We start from the raw sequence: 25934 nt of genomic DNA on the forward strand, positions 1-25934 counted from the left end.
CTCCCGGTCCCCTTCCTGGCAGGTGCAGCCCCCCGTCTTTCCCCCTTCCTGGAGCCGGGGCTGCGGGCGGCTGCGCGCGCGGGTCAAGGTTTCTGGGTTCTGTGCGTGCGGGGAGTTCACGTGTGCTGTTTCTATTCTGCAGCGAGGTCGCGCTGAACAGAAATGTGAAAACGGTGTGCGGTGGGAGGAACTGCCCCGAACTAAAATCTATGTCTCTTAACCGATGAAGGGTTGTCTGTTGTCTTTTGTTGTTGTTGTTGTTCAGTCGTTTTCAGTAGTGAGCTGTTTCAAGAGTGCGGTGTTTTAAGCAGGAAGGACTCCTTTTTCCCTGCCGTGTTTTCAGTAGGCCAAATTGGAAGACGCTTCAAGCATGATGGATTTTCAATCTGTGCTCTGAACCTTAAAATTTAGGGAAAACTAGATGCTTTTCGCATAACTTCTACAAAAAGACAGTTGATTAGGAATTATTACAAGGTCATGTAGAGTGTTAAGTCAGCCTGATAGGGAACTGCCTATCCTGCTACAAAACAATTTAGCTTGGTCCTGTGGTTTTATGAAGTTATCGTTTACTCTGCTTGAAACACAAACTTGCTGTCTAGGAAATGCTAATTATTCCTCAGGGGCTCACTTCTAGATCATTGCAAGTACAGCCTTTGTCCACACAAACTGGAATTTTTTTGTTTTTTGTTTTTTGAGACGGAGGCTCACTTTGTCGCTCAGGCTGGAGTGTAGTGGCGCGATCTTGGCTCACTGCAATCTCCGCCCTTTGAGTTCAAGTGGTTCTCCTGCCCCAGCCTCCCGAGTAGCTGGGATTACAGGCGCCTGCCACCGCGCCCGGCTAATTTTTTGTATTTTTAGTAGAGACGGGGTTTCACCATCTTGGCCAGGCTGGTATTGAACTCCTGACCTCGTGATCCACCCGCCTCGGCCTCCCAAAGTGCTGGGATTACAGGCGTGAGCCACCGCGCCCGGCCTACAAATTGGAATTTTTAACGCTTTCGGTTGTTGGAGATGCTGGTAAGAGCTGTTGCTTTTCTTCTTGACTTGCGTGTTGTGTGTGTGTGCATGCGCTGTTCTGTTTCTTAGCATGGAAAGGTGCACCAGCATATTCCTTAAACTTTGGTAGTAGCATTTTAAAGAATGTTATTTTCAGGCCGGGCGCGGTGGCTCACGCCTGTAATCCCAGCACTTTGGGAGGCCGAGGCGGGTGGATCACGAGGTCAGGAGGTCGAGACCATTCTGGCTAACACGGTGAAACCCGTCTCTACTAAAAATACAAAAAAAAAAAAAAAATTAGCCGGGCGCGGTGGCGGGCGCCTGTAGTCCCAGCTACTCAGGAGGCTGAGGCAGGAGAATGTGAACCCTGGAGGTGGAGCTTGCAGCCAGCGAGATCGCACCACTGCACTCCAGCCTGGGGGACAGAGGAAGACTCCGCCTCAAAAAAAAAAAAGAAATTTTCAAATGAAAATGCTATTTATGTGTGTTTATACTGTAGACGGTATGAAATCAATGGTAGGGTCCTAATGGCTACCCTTTAATCTGACTTTTTTTTTTTTTTTTTTTTTTTTACAAAATACTGTGTCACAACAAAGGAAGTTTGCGTCTACTGTGAGGATCTTGAGTTTTTGTTTGTTTGTTTTTGATTTTGAGACACGGTCTCTGTGACCTAGCCTGGAGTGTACTGGTATGATGACAGCTCACTGCAGCCTCAAACTTCTGGGCACAAGCGATCCTCCTGCCCCAGTGCTCAGGAGTTTGAAGTTGCTGTGAGCTATGATTGCACCACTGCATTCCAGGCTGGGATTACAGGTGTGAGCTATGATCTCACCACTCCTCCCACATACCTGGCCAAGATTTTGAGTTTTTTGGAATTTTTTTTTTTTTTTCCTGAGACGGAGCCTTGCTCTGTCCCCCAGGCTGGAGTGCAGTGGCGCAATCTCGGCTCACTGCAAGCTATGCCTCCCGGGTTCACATCATTCTCCTGCCTCAGCCTCCCGAGTAGCTGAGACTACAGGCACCCGCCACTACGCCCAGCTAATTTTTTTTTGTATTTTTAGTAGAGACGGGGTTTCACCATGCTAGCCAGGATGGTCTCGATCTCCTGACCTCATGATCTGCCCGCCTCGGCCTCCCAAAGTGCTGCGATTACAGGCATGAGCCACTGTGCCTGGCCCGATTTTGAGTTTTTAAAGAAAATTCTCCTCACCATTCAGCCAGAACGATTTGTATTGAATTGAATTCTGCACATGCTAACATGATAAACATGGAGATAAGTTGACCTTTCAGTGAGGGCCAGAATTCAGACCTTATTTTTTTGAGACGGAGTCTCGCTCTGTTGCCAGGCTGGAGTACAATGGCGTGATCTTGGCTTGCTGCAACCTCCGCCTCCCTGGTTCAAGCAATTCTTGTGCCTCAGCCTCCTGAGTAGCTGGGATTACAGGCACACGCCACCACACCCAGCTAATTTTTGTATTTTTAGTAGAGATGGGGTTTTACCATGTTGGCCAGGATGGTCTTGATCTCCTGACCTCGTGATCCACCCGCCTTGGCCTCCCAAAGTGCTGGGATTACAGCTGTGAGCCACCACGCCTGGCCGAATTCAGACCTTTTGAACAGTAGGAATGAGTCTTGCAGTAGAGATGAGTAAGAAGGGCAGTGAGATGGAGGCTGGGCCTCCCACTTGTGCTCAGGGAAGAGTCTTGTGGCCACCGAGGTGAACATGTATCCTGGACTTCTCATGGGCCTGGGACTCTCTACCCGTACTGAGTACACAAGGGGATGAGTGGCTTTTTTCACAGAGGGGAGTTTAGCATTTGTGCGGTGTGAATTAAATTATTAACCTAGAGGATATTTCAGCACTTCCTTTTTTGTAAGGTATCATTTCCAAATTTGTGGTGTAGGGCAGTAACACAGGTTAATGGAATAAATCATAAAGAATTGGTACCAGTGAAATGCAGATAAATTGTTTAAAATCTTTTTTTTTTTTTTTTAAGACAGAGTTTTTCGCTCTTGTTGCCTAGGCTGGAGTGCAATGGTATGATCTCGGCTCATTGCAACCTCCGCTTCCTGGGCTCAAGCGATTCTCCTGCTTCAGCCTCCCGAGTACCTGGGATTACAGGTGTGCACTACACCACCGCACCCAGTTAATTTTGTATTTTTAGTAGAGACAGGGTTAATCCATGTTGGTCAGGCTGGTCTTGAACTCCTGACCTCAGGTGATCTGCTCACCTCCGCCTCCCAAAGTGCTGGGATTACAGGTGTGAGCCACCACACCTGGCCCTAAAATCTTTTTTTCTGAATTTAAGCTCAGTGTTCAGGTTGATGATACAAGTTCTTTTTAAGTTTAAAAATCAAATTAAATGTATAAGCTTGAAAGCACACGTAACTTAGAGTAATTATGTAAAGGCCAAAGTATTATTACGAGTCTCACTCTGTTGTCCAGGCTGGAGTGCAGTGGCGTGATCTTGGCTCACTGCAACCTTGGCCTCTTGGATTCAAGCCATTCTCCTGCCTCAGACTCCCCAGTAGCTGGGATTAAGGAGCCCACCACCAGGCCTGGCTTTGTGTTTTTTGTAGCAACAGAGTTTCACCATGTTGGCCAGGCTGGTCTCAAACTCCTGAACTCAGGTGATCCGTCCCGCCTCCGCTTCCCAAAGTGCTGGGATTATAGGTGTGAGCCACTGCGCCTGTCCTAAGGCTGAAATATTATTAATGCTTATTTCAGATTTGTCTACTAAATTTAACATCACTGTAGAGTTAGAAAATAATGTAACAACCCGTCGTTGGTCTCTTATTTGAACCACAATGATTTTATTCAAATTCCAACTTCAAAATGAATTTATGTTTTGAATTTATATTAAAAATTATCAGAAAATTTGCAAGAGTACATAAGTAGTTTAGGTTTAAAATTTGGCTCATTTCATTGAAATAATAATGTATTAATGTGGGGGAAGAGAGAAAGATGAGGACTATGATCCTGTCCTTGTCTGCTGTATTTTAATAATTTGACTAAGATGTGGATCCAAGTACTGTTTCCACAGTGGCTGGGGAGCCTCGAGCCCAGTGTGATTGGTGGGGGCTCAGTGTGTACAAAGATTGTCAGGGTGTGTGGTTTTCTGGAAAACAAATGGCTTCTTCAAGTCCTTGATTTTTGGATACACAGGATGCAGGGCTGTGTGTAAGGAAAGGCAGCGTTTTCCTCTCTTAGAGCCTCTGACTGACCTGAGGCGCAGGTGTTCCTGGGAGACTGGAGGGTGGGCTCCATGGGGGTGTCTGGGCCCCACCTGGCAGGGCTCTTGGCAGTGAGCCAGTGGAGGTTGCCTCCCACGTGTGGCTGGCCCTGTAGCCTGGCTCTGGAGAACCTGCAATTCAGGCTGGAAGAGACTTTGGAGCAGCTGGAGTGTGAGGTCTGCCTGGGTCTGGTGGGGAGTGTTTTTACTTTGCCAGTGATAGACTGAAATGCCCTCTTTGAGGACAAGGTGGCTTTTTTTTTTTTTTTAAATCGGTCTCTGTCTGTCGCCCAGGCTGGGGTACAGTGGCACGATCTCGGCTCACTGCAACCTCCGCCTCCCGGGTTCAAGTGATTATCCTGGCTCAGCCTCCCGAGTAGCTGGGATTACAGATGCCCGCCACCATGCCCGGCTAATTTTTGTATTTGTATTTTATTTATTTATCTATTAATCTATTTTTTGAGATGGAATCTTGCTTTGTTGCCCAGGTGGGAGTGCAGTGACGCAGTCTCAGCTCACTGCAGCCTCCGCCTCCTGGGTTCTGGGTTCAAGCAATTCTTCTGTCTCAGCCTCCCAAGTAGCTGGGACTACAGGTACGTGCCACCATGCCTGGCTAACTTTTTTTGCATTTTTAGTAGAGACGGGGTTTCACCATGTTGGTCAGGCTGGTCAGAACTCCTGACCTCAGGTCATCTGCCCACCTCGGCCTCCCAAAGTGCTGGGATTACAGGCGTGAGCTACTGCGCCCGGTCGAGGACAAGGTTCTTATTTGTCCAAGGGCCTGGTCTGGAGGCTATGATTAGTAAAGTGTTTTTTAGGAAGATCAATTGGACAGGACAGTTTGGGTTTGTTGTTGCTATTTTTGTTGCCATGGTAACAAACTAAGTATAATTTATGAATAAAAATAGGCAACTCTTTAACAGTTGTTTATACTTTGAAAATGTCAAATGAATTTGACACATTCTGATCAGTAAGATCCCAGAATATCTAATAGTCAAATATAAATAGAACAAGTTGAATTTACTATTGCCTACAACTATTTAACGTGCTAAATTAAAACTCTGTTTATTTAGAAGAGTGACCCCTGTCCTATGCCAAATGAACTCTATCAGTTCTACCCAGTGGTAATTCCACACTTTCTTTCTTACGTGGCCTGAATCCCACACTTTCTTTCTTACGTGGCATGAATCCCACACTTTCTTTCTTACGTGGCATGAATCCCACACTTACTTTCTTATGTGGCCTGAATCCCACACTTTCTTATGTGGCATGAATCCCTCACTTTATGTGGCATGAATCCCTCACTTTCTTTCTTATGTGGCAGATTGTGTTTGGTAATGTCAGATTTGAAGACTTGTTTATTAAATCAGAGACAGTATCTTCCAAGGTGAAGACTGGAGAGAGATGAGCCGACAGTCAGTGGCTTCTGGAGCTTTCCAGGTGGAGACTCCAATAAATGAATTGAGGGAACTCACAGTGATTCTGTCCTACTCAGAATGCAGATGGGCAGAACTGAGCTTCCCGGAGAATCCCAGTACCAGAAAGAAGAAGTAAGAAGGAGGGGGTCCTGGGAAGGAGATGGCCAAGGGACATGGCTTGGCAATCAGGAAGTCTTGGGCAGCCTTTGAGAGGGCTGTTGTCTCCAGGATAAGGAAGGAGGCTGGACATAGGGCTGGAGAATAAGGAAGGAGTGGAGGTAGAAGGAGTGCATGTAAAGTGGGGACCTTGTAAGGAGAGCAGAGTTGAGATTAGGGTTAGGAGGAGCGGAAACCTCATCACTAAGGTGAAGTGGCTGAAGGAACCACCAAGAAATGGGAGTTGAGGCTGGGTGCGGTGGCTCACGCCTGTGATCCCAGCACTTTGGGAGGCCGAGGCAGGTGGATCATGAGGTCAGGAGATTGAGACCATCCTGGTTAACACGGTGAAACCTCATCTCTACTAAAAATACAAAAAATTAGCTGGGCATGGTGGCGGGCACCTCTAGTCCCAGCTACTTGGGAGGCTGAGGCAGGAGAATGGCATGAACCCAGGAGATTGGAGCTTGCAGTGAGCCGAGATCGCGCCACTGCACTCCAACCTGGGCGACAGAGCGAGACTCCGTCTCAAAAAAAAAAAAAAAAGAAAGAAATGGAGTTGAGGCCTGGTCAGCTCTTTGCCGAGTAGACAGCAGACGATGTCTGAAGGAGGACAGCTCCCAGTGGAAAAGAAAACGAGATTGTGTTGTTTGAAGAGCTGAGCAGAGCGGGTCGGAACGGAGCTACTAGGAAAGTCTGGTGTGTTTCCGTATTGAAGGGCTGCAAGGTGGCTGAAATGCCTTCGTTTTGCGACCTGAAACTCCTGACAAGCTTGTGAGTGGAGCTGAGCCTGGGACACAGGAGTTGGCATGTGTTGGCATAAATAAAGGGATGTTCATAGCAGAGGGCAAATGGCGCTTTGCACTTTGAAAAGTGTTCAGTGTACAAATCAGTTGCCTTTAATAACTACTCTGTATTTAAGCTCCGCCTCCTGGGTTCAAGCGATTCTCCTGCCTCAGCCTCCCGAGGAGCTGGGATTACAGGCATGCACCACCATGCTGGCTAATTTTTGTATTTTTGGTAGAGATAGCTTTTAAAGAAATTTTGGCTGGGCCCGGTGGCTCTTGCCTGTAATCCCAGCACTTTGGGAAGCCGAGACAGGTGGATCATCTGAGGTCAGGAGTTCGAGATCAGCCTGGCCAACATGGCGAAACTCCGACTCTACTAAAAATACAAAAATTAACTGGGCATGGTGGCGGATGCCTGTAATCCCAGCAACTCAGGAGGCTGAGGCAGGATAATCACTTGAACCCACAGGGTGAAGGTTGTGGTGAGCTGAGATGGCGCCACTGTACTCCAGCCTGGGTGACATAGCAAGACTTTGTCTCAAAACCGAAGATATTCATTTGGCAAATTGAGATACATTGTTATCACTGATTTGTAGACACAGAACACATTGCAGCTATTTTAGCATAATTGTTACTTTAAGTTAAAAACCCAGTAACCAACTTACTTCTGCCTCACCTTAGTGTTTAGTACTTCTTCCAGTGGTAAAACTCTGTGTTCCTTTTATTTTATTATTTAGAGTCTCACTCTGTCACCCAGGCTGGAGTACAGTGGCACCATCATAGCTCACTGCAGCCTTGAACTCCTGGACTCAAGCGATCTTCCCACCTCAGTCTCCCGTGTAGCTGAGAGTACAGGCCTGCATGGCCATTCAGGGCTAATTTATTTTTTTTTGGACGTGGGGTCTCGCTATGTTGCCCAGGCTGGTCGCAAATTCCTGTCCTCAAGCAGTCCCCCCACCTCAGTCTGCCAAAGTGCTGGGATTACAGGTGCGAGCCACCCTGCCTGGCCTATACATGTTTTCAAGTGCTGATCATTTATTAATAGTGAAGTGATTGTAGTCAGGCGTGGCTCCCCCATTTACTGGCAGGTCCCATTTAGACCTGCGGTTGCAGAAGTACAGCACAGCTCTGTGCATGATTGGTGGAAATATTCCAGGAGATGAGGCTGTTACAGTAACAGCAGATTTTTCCATTGTGAAAATGTAACTATTCCTGCTTTGTTGAAGAGAAAGATTTTTTTGGAAAATGAAGAAAAGAGGATTTCTAAATTAAGGAAGCTTTTAGTGAAAGCAGTTGGCATTTGGGTAGTAGTATTCTTATCTGTTTAACATTTTTGTGGGGCTCTTGTTTTCTTTTATGTTTGGTTTTTGGAGCAATTTATAATATCTTAAATAATGACAGTCATAGTAAATCAACCTCCACACTTTTTCATGAGGAATTTTTGAATTTGCTGCTAAAATGCAGTACAGGAGGGCATGTTTAAGGCACACATTACCATCTCTACAATGTGAAGCGGGCTTTGAGCACGGAACAAGGTGTTACAGCTGTACCTAGGAAGTGGTGGCAGGGAGACCAGAAAGTACCTCGTGCCAGAGCCACAGCCCCTGCGGCCCTGCTTTCCTCGTGCACGTCAGTTTAGAGTGCACATTGGGCTTCAAACGCCTCTGCTGATTTGTTAGGAACAGAGAAGGTGCTCTGCTGAGAATTCCGTAGATTTCTAGACAGTATTTGGTTTTTGCTGCAGTTTGTCATTTGAGATGGAATGCTTGTGTTCTTTGTCCTGTGAAGGGCATTGGAGTACGACACCGGGGTGAGTCTGCCTCCTTCCCCTCCCTGGGACGTATGACAGTGTCTGGAGGCACATTTGGTTGGCATAGACTGGGAGGACGGGTGCTACTGGCATCTAGTGGACAGAGGCCAGGGATGCCACTGAAAAATCTTACAACGCACAGGACGCAGGAGGGGAGAGCCGCCTGTTGCGTAGCAACCTGGCAGCTGATAATATAATAAAAGTTGGTTATGACTCTTGGTCCTACTGGTGGTAAGTTTTAATAATTTTTTTTACAGATGATTCCTGCTTAAAACCTTTATGCTACCAAAGCATCTGTTCAAATTATACTTGAAAGCGCCTTTTTTTTTTTTTTTTTTTTTTGAGACAGGGTCTTGCTCTGTTTCCCAGGCTGAAGTGCAGTGGTGTGATCTTGGCTCATTGCAGTGTCCACCTCCCGGGTTCAAGCGATTCTCCTGCCTCAGCCTCCTGAGTAGCTGGAATTACAGGCACGTGCCACCACGCCGGCTAATTTTTTTTTTTTTTTTTTCAAGATGGAGTTCTGCTCTGTCGTCCAGGCTGGAATGCAGTGGCACGATCTTGGCTCACTGCAACCTCCGCCTCCCAGGTTCAAGTGATTCTCCTGCCTTAGCCTCCTGAGTACCTGGGATTACAGGCGCGTGCCCACTCCCAGCTAATTTTTGTATTTTTAATAGACAGGGTTTCACCATGTTGGCCAGGCTGATCTCGGACTCCTGACCTCAGGTGATCCGCTTGCCTCGGCCTCCCAAAGTGCTGGGATTACAGGCGTGAGCCATGGCGCCCCACCTGAAAGTGCCTTTTGTAAAACAGAGCCTGGAGGTTGAGACTCATTGCGGAGTCACTAGATAACTCCTCCCTTTGCAGCTTTGAAAGGACACTCTCGGAATGCAGTTCTGTCTTGCTATCCCTGGTTGTAAGAAGATACAACTAGGTCCCTTAAGGCAGTAGTAGCCTAACATTGTTACGTTTGTAATGTGTTCTCTTAGTCGTATTTATTGACTTAATTAGGCTGATACAGATATTCTGAGAACTAGGAATACCTTAGTTACATTGATACAGATATTCTGAGAACGTTTATCTTTAGTGGGAAAAAAGACAATGAGCTGTAGCTGAATTGTTCCAGTTTTTTGTGTTCCTGGTTCCACTGGAGAATGAACTGATGATGTGACGTCATTGTTAGCACAGCCACGCTGGGAAAGATGGCTCTCAAGGTGCTGTTTTTAATGGTGTTTAGTCATTAATAATTGGCAGTAAGAAAACTCATCTTTTGACTTTCATTTGGACAGATGGAATATAGAAAACCTGAAATAGGCCGGGCACGTTGGGTCACGCCTGTCATCCCAGCACTTTGGGTGGCTGAGGCAGGCGGATCTCCTGAGATCGGGAGTTCGAGACCAGCCTGACCAACATGGAGAAACCCTGTGTCTACTAAAAATACAAAATTAGCTGGGTGTGGTGGCGCATGCCTCTAATACCAGCTACTCGGGAGGCTAAGGCAGGAGAATCACTTGAACTCCAGCCTGGGCAACAAGAGTGAAACTCCATCTAAAAAAAAAAAAAAAAAAAAAGAGAGAGAAAACCCGAAATAAGGAAATTTAAAACTACTGATGTGTTTTTTTTTTTTTTTTTTGAGACAGAGTCTCGCTCTGTCACCCAGGCTGGAGTGCAGTGGCGCCATCTCAGCTCACTGCAACGTCCTCCTCCCGGGTTCAAACAATTCTCCTGCCTCAGTCTCCCGAGTAGCTGGGATTACAGGCGCCACCACCACGCTCTGCTAATTTTTGTATTTTTAGTAGAGACGGGGTTTCACCATGTGGGCCAGGCTGGTCTCAAACTCCTGACTGCAGGTGATTCCCCTGTCTTGGCCTCCCAAAGTGTTGGGATCACAGGCCAAAGTGTGAGTCACTGTGCCCGGTCTACTGTTGTGTTTTCAAAGTGGCTTTTTTGGTCTTGTATTTTTCAGAATACGATAGCATTTTGAGTATATAGAGAATGTTTTAAAAATTCTGTGTTTTTGCCATTTCTGAGCTGTTGGAGGATGTTAGGATAATGAACATCATTTTGATAGCCATTTGAGCTGGGTGGAAGAAGATGTGGTTTAAATATAAAATGTCTGTTCTGGGTCCTCCTTGAGGACCTGTTCCCACTTTGCCAAGCTTCCCCCTGGACTTGTCCACACGTGATTAAACACAGCTGAAATCCTGTACACTTGAGTGAACTGCATGTAAGTGTTCTGTGGGCTGGGCTGATTCATCTTTACATTGTACACTTCCTGGGGTTGTAGCCTTTGACCCCTGGGTGACCTCCTCCAGGAATTCTGGGTACTCGATAGGACTCAAATGTTTATTGCTGAATTGGTTGGATGTGGGCTTCTGAGTTTGGATTGGGTGACTACTGTACCATAGGAAACCATGTAAAACAGTTATAAATGTAAGTCAGATTAAATTCACTTCTGATTCTACAGTTGCTCCCACTTTTTTTTGTTTTTGTTGATGGTAGACTCCCCAAAGTGACTTTTTTGGCCTTGTACAGTCATGCATCACTTAACTGTGGAAATCATTCTGAGAAATGCATTGTTAGGTGATTTCATTGTTGTGCGAACATCATAGAGCATACTTGTACAAGCCTAGATGACACAGCCTGCTGCACACCCAGGCTGTGTGTATATCCTGTTGCGCCTACAGCCACATGCTGCACAAACTTAAGCAACATGTGACTGTATTGAATGCTGTAACATGGTGTTTGTGTATCTAAACATATTAAAACATAGAAAAGGCACAGTAAAAATAAGGTACAAAAGATAAAGGTACAGCTCTCTAGAGCACTTAGTGTCAGCAGAGCTTGCAGGACGGGGTGAGTCAGTGAGTAAATGGTGAGTGAATGTGAAGGCCTAGGACGTGACTGTACACCGCTGTCAACTTCATAAACACTGGACATTTAGGCTATACTTTATTTATTTGAGAAGGAGTTTCGCTTTTGTCGCCCAGGCTGCAGTGCAATGGCGTGATCTTGGCTCACTGCAACGTCTGCCTCCCAGGTTCAAGCAGTTCTCCTGCCTCAGCTTCCCGAGTAGCTGGGATTACAGGCTCACGCCGCCACGCCCGGCTAATTATTTTATTTTATTTTATTTTAGTAGAGATGGGGTTTCACCATGTTGTCCAGGCTGGTCTTGAACTCCTGAGCTCAGGTAAACACCTACCTTGGCCTCCCTAAGTGCTAGGATTATAGGCGTGAGCCACTGTGCCCATCTTATTTATTTTTTTGAGATGGAGTTTCGCTCTTGTTGCCTAGGCTGCAGTGCAATGGCGCGTTCTCGGCTCACTGCAGCCTCCGCCTCCTTGGTTCAAGCAATTCTCCTGCCTCAGCTTTCCGAGTAGCTGGGATTACCAGCACCCGAGACCAGCCCAGCTAGTTTTTGCATTTTTAGTGGAGACGGGGTTTCACCATGTTGGCCAGGCTGGTCTTGAACTCCTGACCTCAGGTGATCCACCCACCTCGGCCTCCCAAAGTGCTGGGATTACAGGCGTGAGCCACTGCGCCTGGCCTAAATGTATTTAAAAAGAGTTTTCTTGTCAGGTAAAAGAAAAAAATTGTAAATAATTTATTAGTCTTAACATACTATAATTTTTTTTTACTTTATAAACTAATACTTAGTTTAAAACACACATTGTGCAGACATAAAAAAATATTTTTGTTGTTTTTTTCTGAGACTACGTCTCACTGTGTGGCCCAAGCTGGAGTGCAATGGTGTGATTGTGGCTCACTGCAACCTCTGCCTCCCGGGTTCGAGTGATTCTCCTGCTTCAGCCTCCCGAGTAGCCACCTCACCTGGCTAATTTTTGTATTTTTAGTAGAGATGGGGTTTTGCCGTGTTGACCAGGCTGGTCTCGAACTCCTGACCTGAGGTGATCTGCCTGCTTTGGCCTCCCAAAGTGCTGGGATTACAGGTGTGAGCCACCGCGCCTGACCACAAAAATATTTTTGTATTCTTATTTGATAAGCTTTTTTCTGTTTGTAAAATTATTATTTTTTTCTTTTTAAACTTTTTTTGTTTAAAAACTAAGACTGAAACACACACTAGCCTAGCCCTACATAGGGTCAGGACCAGCAGTATCACTGTCTTCTACCTCCACATCTTGTTCCACTCCAAAGTTCTTAGGGGAAGTAACGTGCATGGAGCTGTCACCTCCGGTGATAACGGCTTCTTCTGGATACTTCCTGAAGGACCTACCTGGGGCTGTTGTATAGTTAACTTTTTAAAAATAAGTAGAAGCAGTATACTCTAAATTAACGATAAAATGTATAGTGCTGCCGGGCGTGGTGGCTCACGCCTGTAATCCCAGCACTTTGGGAGGCCAGGCGGGTGGATCACCTGAGGTCAGGAGTTTGAGACCAGCCTGGCCAACATGGTGAAACCCTGTCTCTACTAAAAATGCAAAAAATTAGCCAGGCATGGTAGCACACGCCTGTAATCCCAGCTACTCGGGAGGCTGAGGCAGGAGAATTGCTTGAACCCAGGAGGCAGAGGTTGTAGTGAGCCGAGACCGTGCCACTGCACTCCAGCCTGGGTGATGGAGTGAGACTTTGTCTCAAAAAAAAAAAGTATAGTGCAGTGAATACATAACCAGTAACTGTCATTTATTATTATTAAGTATTACATATTGTACGCGATCGTATGTGCTGTACTTTCATACGGCTGTTCGCGTAGTAGGTTCGTTGACACCAGCATCACCCCAGACTCATGAGTAATTCATTGCACTATGACATCACAATGGCTAGGAATAGGAATTTTTCAGCTCCATCATAATCTTAACGGGACCCTCATATATGCGGCCCATCATTGACTTGAAACGACGTGAATTTTGTTAGCCGGGCATGGTGGTGCCCAGCTGTAGGTTAGCCGGGCGTGGTGACGCACAGCTGTAGGTTAGCTGGGCCTGGCACAGCTAGGTTAGCTGGGTGTGGTGGTGCGCAGCTGTAATCCCAGCTACTCGTGAGACTGAGGTTGGAGGATCACTTGGGCCCAAGAGGTGGAGGCTATAGGGAGCCGAGATCACACCGGTGCACTCCAGCCCAGGCAACAGAAGGGGAGACCCTGTCTCAGGTCGATAGGTAGATAAGATAGCCGGGCATGGTGGCACACACTTGTAGTCCCAACTGAGTAAGACACTGTCTCAAAAAAAAAAAAAAAGAGAAAAATAGCCAGATGTTGTGGCAAGGGCCTCTAGTCCTAGCTACTTGGGAGGCCGAGGTGGGAGGATCACTTGACCCTCGGAGGTTGAGGCTGCTGTGGACTGTGATTGCACTATTGCACTCAAGTCTGGGCAGCAGAGCAAAACCTCGACTCGAAAAAAAAAGAAAAGATGGCTGATATGTAGAGGGGTAACCTGTGGAAGCCTGGCTGCACATGGACAAAATTTCTTGTGATTGAATAAAAATGTTCTAATAATGTGTGTCAGGGCACATGACTTGTCGTACTGCTTGATAGTTGTTGCGGCTCTAATATAGGAACAAGTCAGACCATGAAGTTGGTGGCTTGTTGTTCCCGAGTCTTTGCACCGGGTGCTGCTCTTCTGCTTCTCCTGCAGAGCATGTGCACAGACCTGGCTCTAGGTCGTCATGCCTCAGGCTAGAGGAGGGGCCAGGCTCCTTCTTGCTGAGAACTTTAGCAGAGCTCTGGAGGAGACCCTCCTGGGACTGCGCTACTGGAGCACATCCTTATCGCACATGAGATGGTCTCTAGCTCTGATCCTTCTCACCACACACTTCAGCCCATCCAGGTTTGACTTTAGTGACTGGGTGCCTCAGCACTCACTCCTGTTCCTGTCTCCTCTTACAGATGGTAACGAACTCGTTGAAACATGTCCCCAGAAGTAATATTTATTTTCCATGGATCTTTTATCTTGTTCTCTCTTAAAAGTTGTTTTTCAGGCTATGCCTTTTCTTGTTGACACAAATCTACCTGTTAATTATTGAGTGCTGAAAAACACACATTTTTTGGGGGCAGGTTCTTGCTCTGTCGCCCAGCTGGAGTGCAGTGGCACCATCTTGGCTCACTGCAACCTCCACCTCCCAGGTTTAAGCGATTCTCCTGCCTCAGCCTTAGGAGTAGCTGGGATTACAGATGCCTGCCACCACACCTGGCTGATTTTTGTATTTTTTGTACAGATGGGGTTTCCACATGTTGGTTAGGCTGGTCTCGAACTCCTGACCTCAGCTTATCCACCTGCCTCAGCCTCCTAAAGTGCTGGGATTACAGGTGTAAGCCACCGTGCCCGGCCTTGGCCTTCGTGATTTCTGATGAGAAGTCAGCTGTTAACAGTTATCCAGTCGCTTATCTCTTGCTGCTGTCAAGATTCTCTCTTTTTTTGTCTTTTGGCTTTCAACACTGATTAAAATGTGTTTCATTTTGGGTCCTGTGAGTTTATCCTACTTGGAGTTTGTTGAGCTTCTTGGATTTGTAAAATTTTTGTCTTTCATTAAACTCGAAAAGGTTTTGGCCATTATTTTTTCAGACATTCTTTCTGCCCATTTCAAACTTCCATGGTTGGTTGGTGAGCTGACATCTCACAGGTCCTTTAGGCTCTGCTCGTCTTCTTTGTTCTTTCTCCTTTCTGAGGAGACTTGCGGGAGCAGAATCTCAGTCTTCCCATCTTCAAGTTTCCTGATTCTTCTTGTGCCTGCTCAGATGTGCTATTGAACTGCTAGCATGAGCTTTTCATGTTTGTCATTGTACCTTTTAAAAGCTCCAGGATTTCTGTTTTGTTCCTTTTTATGCTGTCTCTGTCGATAGTCCTGTTTGGTTCACACACACGTTGTTTTCCTTATCTCTTTTAGTTGTGTGTTTTTGTTTTTGTTTTTTTTTTGAGATGGAGTTTCACTTTTGTTGCCCAGGCTGGAGTGCAGTGGCGCGATCTGGGCTCACTGAAACCTCTTCTGGTTCAAGCGATTCTCCCGCCTCAGCCTCCCGAGTAGCTGGGATTACAGGCATGCGCCACCATGCCCAGGTAATTTTGTATATTTAGTGGAGATGGGGTTTCTCCATGTTGGTCAGGCGGGTCTGGAACTCCTAACCTCAGGTGATCCGCCTGTCTCAGCCTCCCGAAGTGCTGGGATTATAGGTGTGAACCACCGTGCCTGGCATTTTTTTTGTATTTTTAGTAGAGATGGGGTTTCACCGTGTTGGCCAGGCTGGTCTCAAACTCCTCACCTCAGGTGATCTGCCCATCTCGGCCTCCCCAAGTGCTGGGATTACAGGTGTGAGCTACGGTGCCCGGCCTGTGTTTTTATTTAAGTTTTTGAGCATATTTAAGGCAGTTGTTTCAAAGTCTTTGTCTAGCAAATCCAGCATCTGGCCTTCCCCAGAATAGTTTCTGTCAGTTTTTATTTCTTTGACTGAGTCATACTTTCCTGTTTCTTTGTGTGCCTTGTGATTTTTGTTGTTGTTGCAAACTGGACCTGTGATGATGAGAACGCAGTAGCTCTGGAAATCAGATTCTTCTCCTTTCCTTGGGTTTGGTGGGGTTTTTTGCTTGCCAAAGGATATAGGGGCCCTTTTATTTAACGACTTTTCCAAGCTATTGTTATTGCAGACTATCTTCCTTCGTTATGTAGTCACTGAAGTCCTTGTTCCTCAGCTTGTGTTTAGTTGGTGTTTTGACAAAGATTTCCTTGAATGCCAGGAACTCTTACAGTCTTTACGAACTGGCTCTGTGCCTGAGCCCTCCTTGAACTCTTGATGGGCTTGCCCTTGGCCTAGGGATCAGCCCAGAGTGAAAGCAAGCTCGAGGCCGAGGAGGTCTTCGCAGAGGGGGCCTTTTGCCCTGGGCATGTGTGTAGCTTTCTGAATTTTCCAGCACACACTGAGGCCTCTGAATGTCCTGATTTCCCAGAAACACACCCAGGTTTTCGCCTTAGGCAGTCTGTTGTATGTTGGGACTGTAATCTTCTGCCCCAGGCATCTGAGAGTTAAATGGGTTTGAAATGTTTTTAAGCTTTTTTTGGCCTTGGATCTGACTTAGGCAAAACAGAAGAGGAGTGCCTTGTGTCAGTCAGACTCCAGACACATTAGAACAGACACACACAATACATTTTGAATGAGGTCTCCAGCAGCTTCTGGTAGGCACTTAAGGTTAGAAAACATTGTTTAGGAAAAGAATAGAATATAAAGCTTAGCGGTTGGTTGTAGAAGGTTCTTGCTGCTGGATCCACTCAGCTCCTGGGCAGTTGGTGGGGGCCAGCCTCCAGCTGACCAGTGAGTGGGATGCTGGGCTGGAGCTGCTGGTATTATGTTAGGAAGGTTATTCCTGAGAAATTCAGATACTTGTTGACTGAATTGGTATGATGCTTATAGTCTTTCTTAAATGATTAAAGTTTAACATATTATTAAATTTAAAAATATTGTGAAATAATACTTCTTGTAGAACATTTAGACCGTAAAAGTGGATGTGAAAAATTATCCATTGCCGGGCGGGCACGGTGGCTCACGCCTGAAATCCCAGCACTTTGGGAGGCTGAGGTGGGCGGATCATGAGGTCAGGAGTTTGAGACCAGCCTGGCCAGCATACAAAAAATTAACCGGGCATGGTGGTGTGTGCCTGTAATCAGCTATTCAGGAGGCTAAGGCAGGAGAATTGCCTGAACCTGGGAAGTGGAAGTTGCAGTGAGCTGAGATCATGCCACTGCACTCCGGCCTGGGCGACAAGAGTGAGACTCCATCTCAAAAAAAAAAAAAAAAAAAAAAAGGCCAGGCACACGGTGGCTTATGCCTGTTTGCCAACACTTTTGGAGGCCGAGGCGGGCAGGTCACGAGGTCAAGAGATTGAGACCATCCTGGCCAACATGGAAACCCCATCTCTACTGAAAATAAAAAAATTAGCCGGGCGTGGTGGTACACGCCTGTAATCCCAGCTACTCTGGAAGCTGAGGCAGGAGAACCCCTTGAACCTGGGAGGTGGAGGTTATAGTGAGCTGAGATTGCACCACTGCACTCCAGCCTGGCAATGGAGACTCTGTCTCCAAAAAAAAAAAAAAAAAAATCCGTGGCCAGGCACAGTGGCTCTCACCTGTAATCCCAGCACTTCTGGAGGCTGAGGCAGGTGGATTGCTTGAGGTCAGGAGTTCGAGACTAGCTTGGCCAACATGGTGAAACCCTGTCTCTACAAAAATACAAAAATTAGCTGGGCATGATGGTCGGTGCCTGTAATCCCAGCTACTTGGGAGGCTGAGACAGGAGAATCGTTTGAACCCAAGAGGCAGAGGTTGCAGTGAGCCGAGATCGTGCCATTGCACTCCAGCCTGGGCGACTGAGCAAGACTCCGTCTGAAAAAAGAAAAAAAAGATATAGGCCGGGTGGGAGGTGGGAGGATTGCTGGAGGCCAGGAGTTCGAGACCAGCCTGGCCAACATAGTGAGACTTCTTTCTCTACAAAAAATTTAAAAATTAGGTGTGGTCGTGCATTCCTCCAGTCCTGGACACTTGGGAGGCTAAGATGGGAAGATCACTTGAGCCCGGGAAGTTGAGGCTGTAGTGAGCCATGCTCGTGCCGCTGCGCTCCAACCTGGGTGACAGACCAAGATCCTGTCTCCAATTAAAACAACATTAAGCTCATTTTGTCAAAGGAAAAATTACCGTCCTCGCATTTGCCTTCGTTGTTGCAGACAGAAGAATGCCCTTGTCCTCTGCTGGTGGACACAGTCCCCACAGGAGCCGCATGGGGTTTTTCTGTGTATCATGTATGGTGTAGAAGAGCAAAATGCTCTGCACCGTGTTTTATAGGGAATGAAAAAGAACCCCACCAAACTTAGGATGCATCTTTCCAGCCGGGCCCTTCCTCAAGCCCCTCACTGTCACCTCTGGCCCCAGGGCAGGCCTGGGGCTCACCCCTTGGACAACACTGAGGCCCAGCCCAGAGAAGGGACTTGTACCCTACGCCATACCCACAGCTCACAGCCACTCAGCCCAGCATGGGTTGCCCCAGCCAGATCTCCTTCCAAAACAGTTAGAAGAGTATTGATGAAGAGTCCTTCAGAATTTTGATTCTTCTTCCTCTCCTGGTTTATCTTCTGGTGGAAAGAAAAACACGTTTGGAATGTTTAAGACTGAGAGGTGATGGGATTTCTTTTTGAGGTAGAAAATGTGGTATGAGAATGGGAGGGAGAAATAGAAAAGTATTGAAGCTTTTAAAACTGTAAGGTGGCCGGGCGTGGTGGCTCAGGCCTGTCATCTCAGCACTGTAAGGTGGCCGGGCGTGGTGGCTCAGACCCGTAATCTCAGCACTGTAAGGTGGCCGGGCGTGGTGGCTCAGGCCCGTAATCTCAGCACTGTAAGGTGGCCGGGCGTGGTGGCTCAGACCCCTAATCTCAGCACTGTAAGGTGGCCGGGCGTGGTGGCTCAGGCCCGTAATCTCAGCACTGTAAGGTGGCCGGGCGTGGTGGCTCAGACCTGTAATCTCAGCACTGTAAGGTGGCTGGGCGTGGTGGCTCAGGCCTGTAGTCTCAACACTTTGGGAAGCTGATGCGGGAGGATCAGTTGAGGACAGGAGTTCGAGACCAGCCTGGACAACATAGATGGACCCTGTCTCTACAAAAAAAATGAAACAATTAGCTCTGTATGGTGGCACATGCCTGTGATTCCAGCTACTTTGGAGGCTGAGGTGGGAGGATTGCTTGAACCCAGGAAGTCAAGGCTGTAGTGAGCCATGATCATACCACTGCACTCCAGTCTGGGTAACACTCGAGACCTTGTTTTAAAAAAAAAAATTAATTAAAAAATATATGTAAATGGGCCGGGCATGGTGGCTCACGCCTGTAATCTCAACACTTTGGGAGGCTGAGGTGACTGGATCACCTGAGGTCAGGAGTTCGAGACCAGGCTGGCCAACATGGTGAAACCCTGTCTCCGTTAAAAATACAAAAAATTAGCTGGGCATGGTGGCAGGCACCTGTAATCCCAGCTACTCAAGAGGCAGAGGCAGGAGAATCTCTTAAACCTGGGAGGTGGAGGTTGCAGTGAGCTGGGATCATGCCACTGCACTCCAGCCTGGGTGACACAGCGAGACTCCATCTCAAAAAAAAAAAAATATCGATAATTGAAAGAGCTTGTTGGACGCGGTGGCTCACGCCTGTAATCTCAGCACTTTGGGAGGCCAAGGAAGGCGGATCACCTGAGGTCGGGAGTTCAAGACCAGCCTGGCCAATATGGTGAAAACCTGTCTCTACTAAAAATACAAAAATTAGCCGAGTGTGATGGCGGATGCCTGTAATCCTGGCTACTTGGGAGGCTGAGGCAGGAGAATTGCTTGAACCTGGGAGGTGGAAATTGCGGTGAGCCGAGGTCATGCCATCGCAGTCCAGCCTGGGCAACAAGAGCGAAACTGTCTCAAAAAAAAAAAAAAGAGTTACCTTTCAGAATGGGCTCAACCGCTTGAATGATTTGGAGAATTGGAGGTAAGAGATTTTGGTGTTAATGACTTTCACTTCCCTGTCTTATGTCCATTCTTCCTGCACGATTGTTGTTTGTGGGTATGCGTCCTTCTGCACGTAATCTGTTTGAAGCCTTTCCAGTGATCCCATGTCTATACCCCCTTTCCCCTGTGTAGCCATCCCATTGGCCTGGATGCTTGGGGATGGTTTGTCTACTCATGCCCCTGTCTTTTCTCCTGGAGTTGGCACACTCCAGTCCAGCACCCACCCTCAGGCGTAACCCTTTCCTTCCTCCCACACGCCTGCCCACTGGATGCTACTCTGCAGCTGCCTCTCCTGTAAGACCAGCCGTGAAGGTTCCTGCTCAGATGCTTTCCCTATATCTGTCTCTCAGTGCCATCTAGGGAGGGAGCAAATAGTTATCAAGTTAGCAGTTTATTCTGTCTTGAATTCTCTAATTGTTTTATGCCCACTAACAAGGTTGACAGCTGAGGTCCCATATCAGTAAGTGAGCATTTATTATTTTTTTCCCAGCGCATCACACCTGGGCTTGTTGAACAGAAAAGCCTTTTTATGTGTTAATACTGTGTTGGCTTGAAATGGAGTGGCACCTTCGGGGGCTGACAGTGGCATAGCTTGGAGTGTGATCTTTCTCAGACAGGGGTCCACAGTGGGTGTGTGTGGCGTGTGGCTGCTGCTTCATTGTCCTTGGAGTAGGCCCTCCCAGCGGTTGGAGGGTGTTTGAGACCAAGCAAATTCCTGTGTGAGCAGCTCCGTCTTCTCTGGTTCTGCTGATGGATTCACCTTTTAGCATAGGTGTCAGTGGGCCAACCTCAGGGGCGTGCAGGGACAGGGACAAAGGGTGTGGTATAAGCACAAGTAGGCCTGAAATAGACAGGTTTCTGGAGTTAGAATTTTAAAATAGTTGTAGATTCTAAATAACTAATGATTTACAGTTTTTTTTTTTTTCAGTCAGAGTTGTGCTGTATCGCCCAGGCTGGAGTGCAGTGGCACGATCTCGGCTCACTGCAACCTCCGTCTCCTGGGTTCAAGTGATTCTCGTGCCTCAGCCTCCCAAGTAGCTGGGATTACAGGCGCCCGCCATCACGCCCGGCTAATTTTTGTATTTTTAGTAGAGACGGGGTTTAACCATGTTGGCCAAGGCTGGTCTCGAACTCCTGACCTCCTGCCTCAGCCTCCCAAAGTGCTGGGATTGCAGATGTGAGTCACCACGCCTGGCCAAATTTTTAAATGTATTAACTTGTATCTGTGTATTACAAATTGATACTTGTGTGACAATCAGATATGACACTCAAATGAAAACTGATAACTTTTTTTTCATACTTAACACACTGTGAACTGCATTGTACCTGTTTCAAGAGGTAGGAAGGGTGATTTTTTTCTTAATAGATGGAGTCTTACTTTGTTGCCCAGGCTGGAGTGCAGTGGTGCGATCATGGCTCACTGCTCCCTCGAATTTCTGGGCTCAAGGGATCCTCTTTACCTCAGCCTCCTGAGTAGTAGGGACTAGAGGCACAAATCACTGCATCCAGCTAATTAAATTTTTTTTTTTTTTTGAGATGGAGTCTCATTCGGTTTCCCAGGCTGGAGTGCAGTGACACAATCTCAGCTCACTGCAACCTCCACCTTCCCGGTTCAAGTGATTCTTTTGCCTCAGCCACCCTAGTAGCTGGGATTACAGGCATGCACCACCACGCCTGGCTATGTTTGTATTTTTTGGTAGAGACAGGGTTTCGCCACGTTGGCCAGTGTGGTCTTGAACTCCTGGCCTCAAGTGATCCACTTGCCTCAGCCTCCCTCCACAAATTTTTTTTTTCTTCTTTCTTTTTTTTTTTTTTGAGACAGTTTCGTTCTTGTCGCCCAGGCTGGAGTGCAATGGTGCGATCTCGGCTCACTGCAACCTCCGCCTCCTGGGTTCAGGCAATTCTCCTGCCTCAGCCTCCCGAGTAGCTGGGATTACAGGTGCGCACTACCAGGCCCAGCTAATTCTTTTTGTATTGTTAGTAGAGACGGGATTTCACCATGTTGGCCAGGCTGGTCTCGAACTCCTGAACTCAGGTGATCCGCCCGTCTCTGGCCTCCCAAAGTGCTGGGATTACAGACGTGAGCCACCATGCCCTTCCCCAGTTTTTTATTTTATTTTATTTTATACAGACAGGGTGTCACTGTCCTGCTCAGGTTGGTGTAGTTAGTACTCCTGGGCTCAAGCAATCTTCCTGCCTTGGCCTCCCAACCGTGAATTACTGGGATTACAGGTGTGAGCTGCCACACCCGGCAGAAGGGCAGTTTTGGTGTTGATAGGAGAAACAGCAGAGGACCCTGCTGGCAGGAGAGGACAGGTGCAGAGTGCGGCCAAAGCAGTATTACCAAGGGCTTGGTCAGCTTTAAAAGTAGTCTCTGGGCTGGATGCAGTGGCTCATGCCCAGTACTTTGGGAGACTGAGGCAGGAGGATCAGTTGAGGACAGGAGTTCGAGACCAGTCTAAGGAACATAGTAGGACCCTGTCTGTACAAAAAATAAAAAAAATTAGCTGGGTGTGGTGGTGCGCACCTGTAGTCCCAGGTACTCAGGAGGCTGATGTGAGAGAATTGCTTGAGCCCAGGAGGTTGAGGCTGCAGTGAGCCGTGATTGCAGAGTGAAACCCTGTATAAATGAATAAACGAATGAATGGTCCCTGGTACTTAACAGGTTATTTACCTGGAAAGGAAAAGTAGAATAAGTTAAACTTCTTCAGTGCTGTTGCCAGAGTGGCCAGTGGGTCCTCAGCAGAGGACATTTCCCACGTGGGGGTTTCGTTTGATACTGTGATTTTTGTCTTAAAACTGTTATCTAAATCCACAACTATTTTTAAATGCTTAGTAAATAAAACTGGACATGCTATCAGAATATTTTGAGATACCTTTTTTATTGTGTTGTGTTGTTTTAGAGATAGGGCCTTGCTCTGGTACCCAGGCTGGAAGTGTCAGTGGTGCAGTCATAGCTCACTGCAGCCTGGAACTCCCGGGCTCATGTTATCCGGGGAGGCCGTAGGTGAGAACTTCTGGCATCTAAATGAAGGCTTCTTTTAAGGGGCAGACTGATAGCTCAGTGTTGTGTGAGCACCTGCTGTGGGGGTGCCACACCCAGGAGCTGAGCAGAGGTCCACCACAGCTGCCCACTTGGAGCCCAGAGCTTTTGCCTCTTCTGGCAGCTTCTCTTTGCTTGTTTGAATAGTTCTGGGCTCTGCTCTGAGAATGGTCATGAGAAACCGGAGCAGTAGGAAGGCCATGATAGGGAAGAGTCTTTCTTTTATTTTTATTTTTTAGTGAGACAGGGTCTTGCTAGAGTGCAGTGGTGTGATCATGGCTCACTGCAGCCTTGAACTCCTGGCCTCAAGTGATCCTGCTGCTGCAGCCTCCTAAGTAGCTGGGACTACACGCCAGCATGCTTAGCTTTTTTTTTTTTTTTTTTTTGAGACGGAGTCTTCTTCTGTCACCCAGGCTGGAGTGCAGTGGCGCAATCTTGGCTCATTGCAAGCTCCGCCTCCCGGGTTCATGCCATTCTCCTGCCTCAGCCTCCCGAGCAGCTGGGACTACAGGCACCCGCCACCACGCCTGGCTAATTTTTTGTATTTTTAGTAGAGATGGGGTTTCACTGTGTTAGCCAGGATGGTCTCAATCTCCTGACCTCGTGATCCGCCCGCCTCAGCCTCCCAAAGTGCTCGGATTACAGGCGTGAGCCACCGTGCCCAGCCAAGCTTTTTGTTTTTTTTATAGACATGAGGTCTCACTATGTTGCACAAGCTGGTCTTGAACTCCTGGGCTCAGTTGATCCTCCCACTTCGGCTTTCCAAAGTTCTGGGATTATAGGCGTGAGCCACTGCGCCCGGCCAAGCTTTTACTTTGAAAATTCTTTGGCTTTTACATTTTATGCCATGTGCATTTATCATCTGTTAGTGACAACAACAAAAATACTTATTGATCATCTTCTCTGGACAGTAGTTAAATGGATTTATTCTTTTTTTTATGTAAGCCACCTAATCTTCCCCTTAAATTAGAATATTTGTGGAGAAAGTCCTAGGGAAATGGCACTGTGCTGGTACAGTACACACACACACGCCACCCAAAACCGTGGGCCCAGAGATGCTTTGGAATCAGAGCAGACTGGATTTTACAACAGTAGCACAGCGTGTGTACTGGGTATGATTTCTTATTCCCAGCACTGCGTCATCCAACATGTGAGCATTTCTGTTGCTGAACTCATGAATATTCTCACTAAGTGGGCTAATTGAAGGGTATAATTAGTTCTTTCTCAGTTTAGGTCAGAATTGGCTGCCAGATGATTTCAGGTCAGATTTTTTGGAGCTTTTTTGCTTTCTGGAATTGTGGAAAAGGGATTGTGGACCTTTATGGGGCATAGAGCGACTCCAGGCAAGTCGCTGTGGGAGGGGTGTGCAGAGTGAAGTGCTGGCGGGTGGCCGTCCTCAGTGGCTTTGGGACCTGGCTTCCGTCCAGCTCTGTGTCTGCAGTGCTACTGTCTGTCCCCCTTTCCTCTTGGGAGCCAGTGCTGCCCACCCAGGTCCCGGGGGCGCACCCTCTCCATGGTGTGCTCTGTTGCTCTGCGTTTACGGAGATGGAAAAAAATAATTAAAAAAAAAAAAGAATTGTCGATCTGCCCCGTCTGTCCTACTTGAGCTTTTCTCGGACCTGTCATCTGTTCTTCCTTCTTCCCCATTGCTGCTGACCTAGTGGTTTCTCACTTGGACTTCTGGAGGGGTTTCTTAGTTGGTCTCCATTCCTCTCCACTTTGTAAAAGTATCATCTAGACACAGAAAAGTGCACAGATTCTAAGTATAGCTCAGTAAGAACCACTGGTACGGTCTGTTCTAGTGAAGACGTGACGTCATCAGCATCCACCTCTCCCAGCCAGGGCCTCCCACTCCTCAGCTCGGAATTCCTATCCCGAATTCTAAACCATAAATTAGTTTTGTTTGCTTTTGAACTTCATATCCATGAAATTGTACAGAGTCCTTTGTAGGAGACGGTGTTTGTTTTTTATTGAATACTGTGTTTCTGAGGTTAGTCCATATTTTTGCACGTAGCTATTGGCCATTCTCATTACTGGAAAGTAGTAACGTGGATATACAACGATTCAATATTCTGCTATAGGTAGACATTTAAAGTAATTTTATTTGGGGCTATTATGAATAATGCTGTTGTGAATATTCTTATAGTCTTTTTTTTGTTGTTGTTGGAAGGCTTTTTTTTTTTTTTCTTTTGAGACAGAGTCTTGCTCTGTCTCCCAGGCTGGAGTACAGTGGCACGATCTTGGCTCACTGCAACCTCTGCGTCCCAGGTTCAAGCGATTCTCCTATCTCAGCCTCCTGAGTGGCTGGGATTATAGGTACGCACCAGCACACCTGGCTAATTTTTGTACTTTTAGTAGAGACGGGGTTTCACCATGTTGGCCAGGCTGGTCTAGAACTCCTGACCTCACATGATCGACTTGCCTTGGCCTCCCAAAGTGCTGGGATTACAGGCGTGAGCCACCGCGCTTGGCCGATGTGTTCAGCTTTCTTACCAACATGTTGGAAAGCGCTTTGTGCAGTTCATAGCCATTTACACTGTGTGAGATCCAGTTCAGGGTGCCTCAGAGCTGCCTCAACTTTTGACATTTTCTCTCTTTTTTATTTTAGGTATTTTAGCAGGTATTGTGGTTTTAATTTGCATTTCCCTAATGACTAATGATGTTGAAGATCCTTCTATGTGCTTACTTGCTACCAAGCATGGTTGGTTTTTTTTTTTTTTTTTTTTGAGATGGAGTCTCGCTTGGTCGCCCAGGCTGGAGTGCAGTGGTGCCATCTTGGCTCACAGCAACCTCCGCCTCCTGGGTTCAAACAATTCTCCTGCCTCAGCCTCTTGAGGAGCTGGGATTACAGGTGCCTGCCACCACTCCCGCCTAATTTTTGTATTTTTGGTAGAGACGGGATTTCGCCGTGTTGGCCAGGCTGGTCTCAAACTCCTGACCTCAGGTGATCCACCTGCCTCGGCCTCCCAGAGTGCTGGGATCGCAGGCATGAACCACTGCACCCAGCCAGCGTGGTATATTAA

At 47.2% G+C, this 25934-nt stretch overlaps 1 protein-coding gene across 3 annotated transcripts in view, besides 3 other annotated features; it reads left to right on the forward strand.

The window, feature by feature from the left end:
• FOXK2 (forkhead box K2) overlaps window positions 1-25934 on the forward strand; it is an 84871-nt gene that overhangs the window by 766 nt on the left and 58171 nt on the right. The gene's annotated exons all lie outside the window — the stretch shown is intronic.
• Window positions 25-74: a silencer, noted in NCBI's record as "silent region_9218". NCBI's record gives its function as "represses an Ori minimal core promoter by ATAC-STARR-seq in GM12878 lymphoblastoid cells {active_cell/tissue: GM12878}" and the evidence as "EXISTENCE:reporter gene assay evidence [ECO:0000049][PMID:35858748]".
• Window positions 13896-14190: a silencer, noted in NCBI's record as "tiled region #5709; K562 Repressive DNase matched - State 14:Gen5'". NCBI's record gives its function as "represses a minimal TATA promoter and a strong SV40 promoter by Sharpr-MPRA in K562 cells {active_cell/tissue: K562}" and the evidence as "EXISTENCE:reporter gene assay evidence [ECO:0000049][PMID:27701403]".
• Window positions 14886-15471: an enhancer, noted in NCBI's record as "H3K27ac-H3K4me1 hESC enhancer chr17:80493259-80493844 (GRCh37/hg19 assembly coordinates)". NCBI's record gives its function as "activates a minimal SCP1, AML or CMV promoter by ChIP-STARR-seq in naive H9 embryonic stem cells {active_cell/tissue: H9 hESC(naive)}" and the evidence as "EXISTENCE:reporter gene assay evidence [ECO:0000049][PMID:30033119]".

Source organism: Homo sapiens, chromosome 17, assembly GCF_000001405.40.
Source record: "Homo sapiens chromosome 17, GRCh38.p14 Primary Assembly".
NCBI lineage: Eukaryota > Metazoa > Chordata > Mammalia > Primates > Hominidae > Homo > Homo sapiens.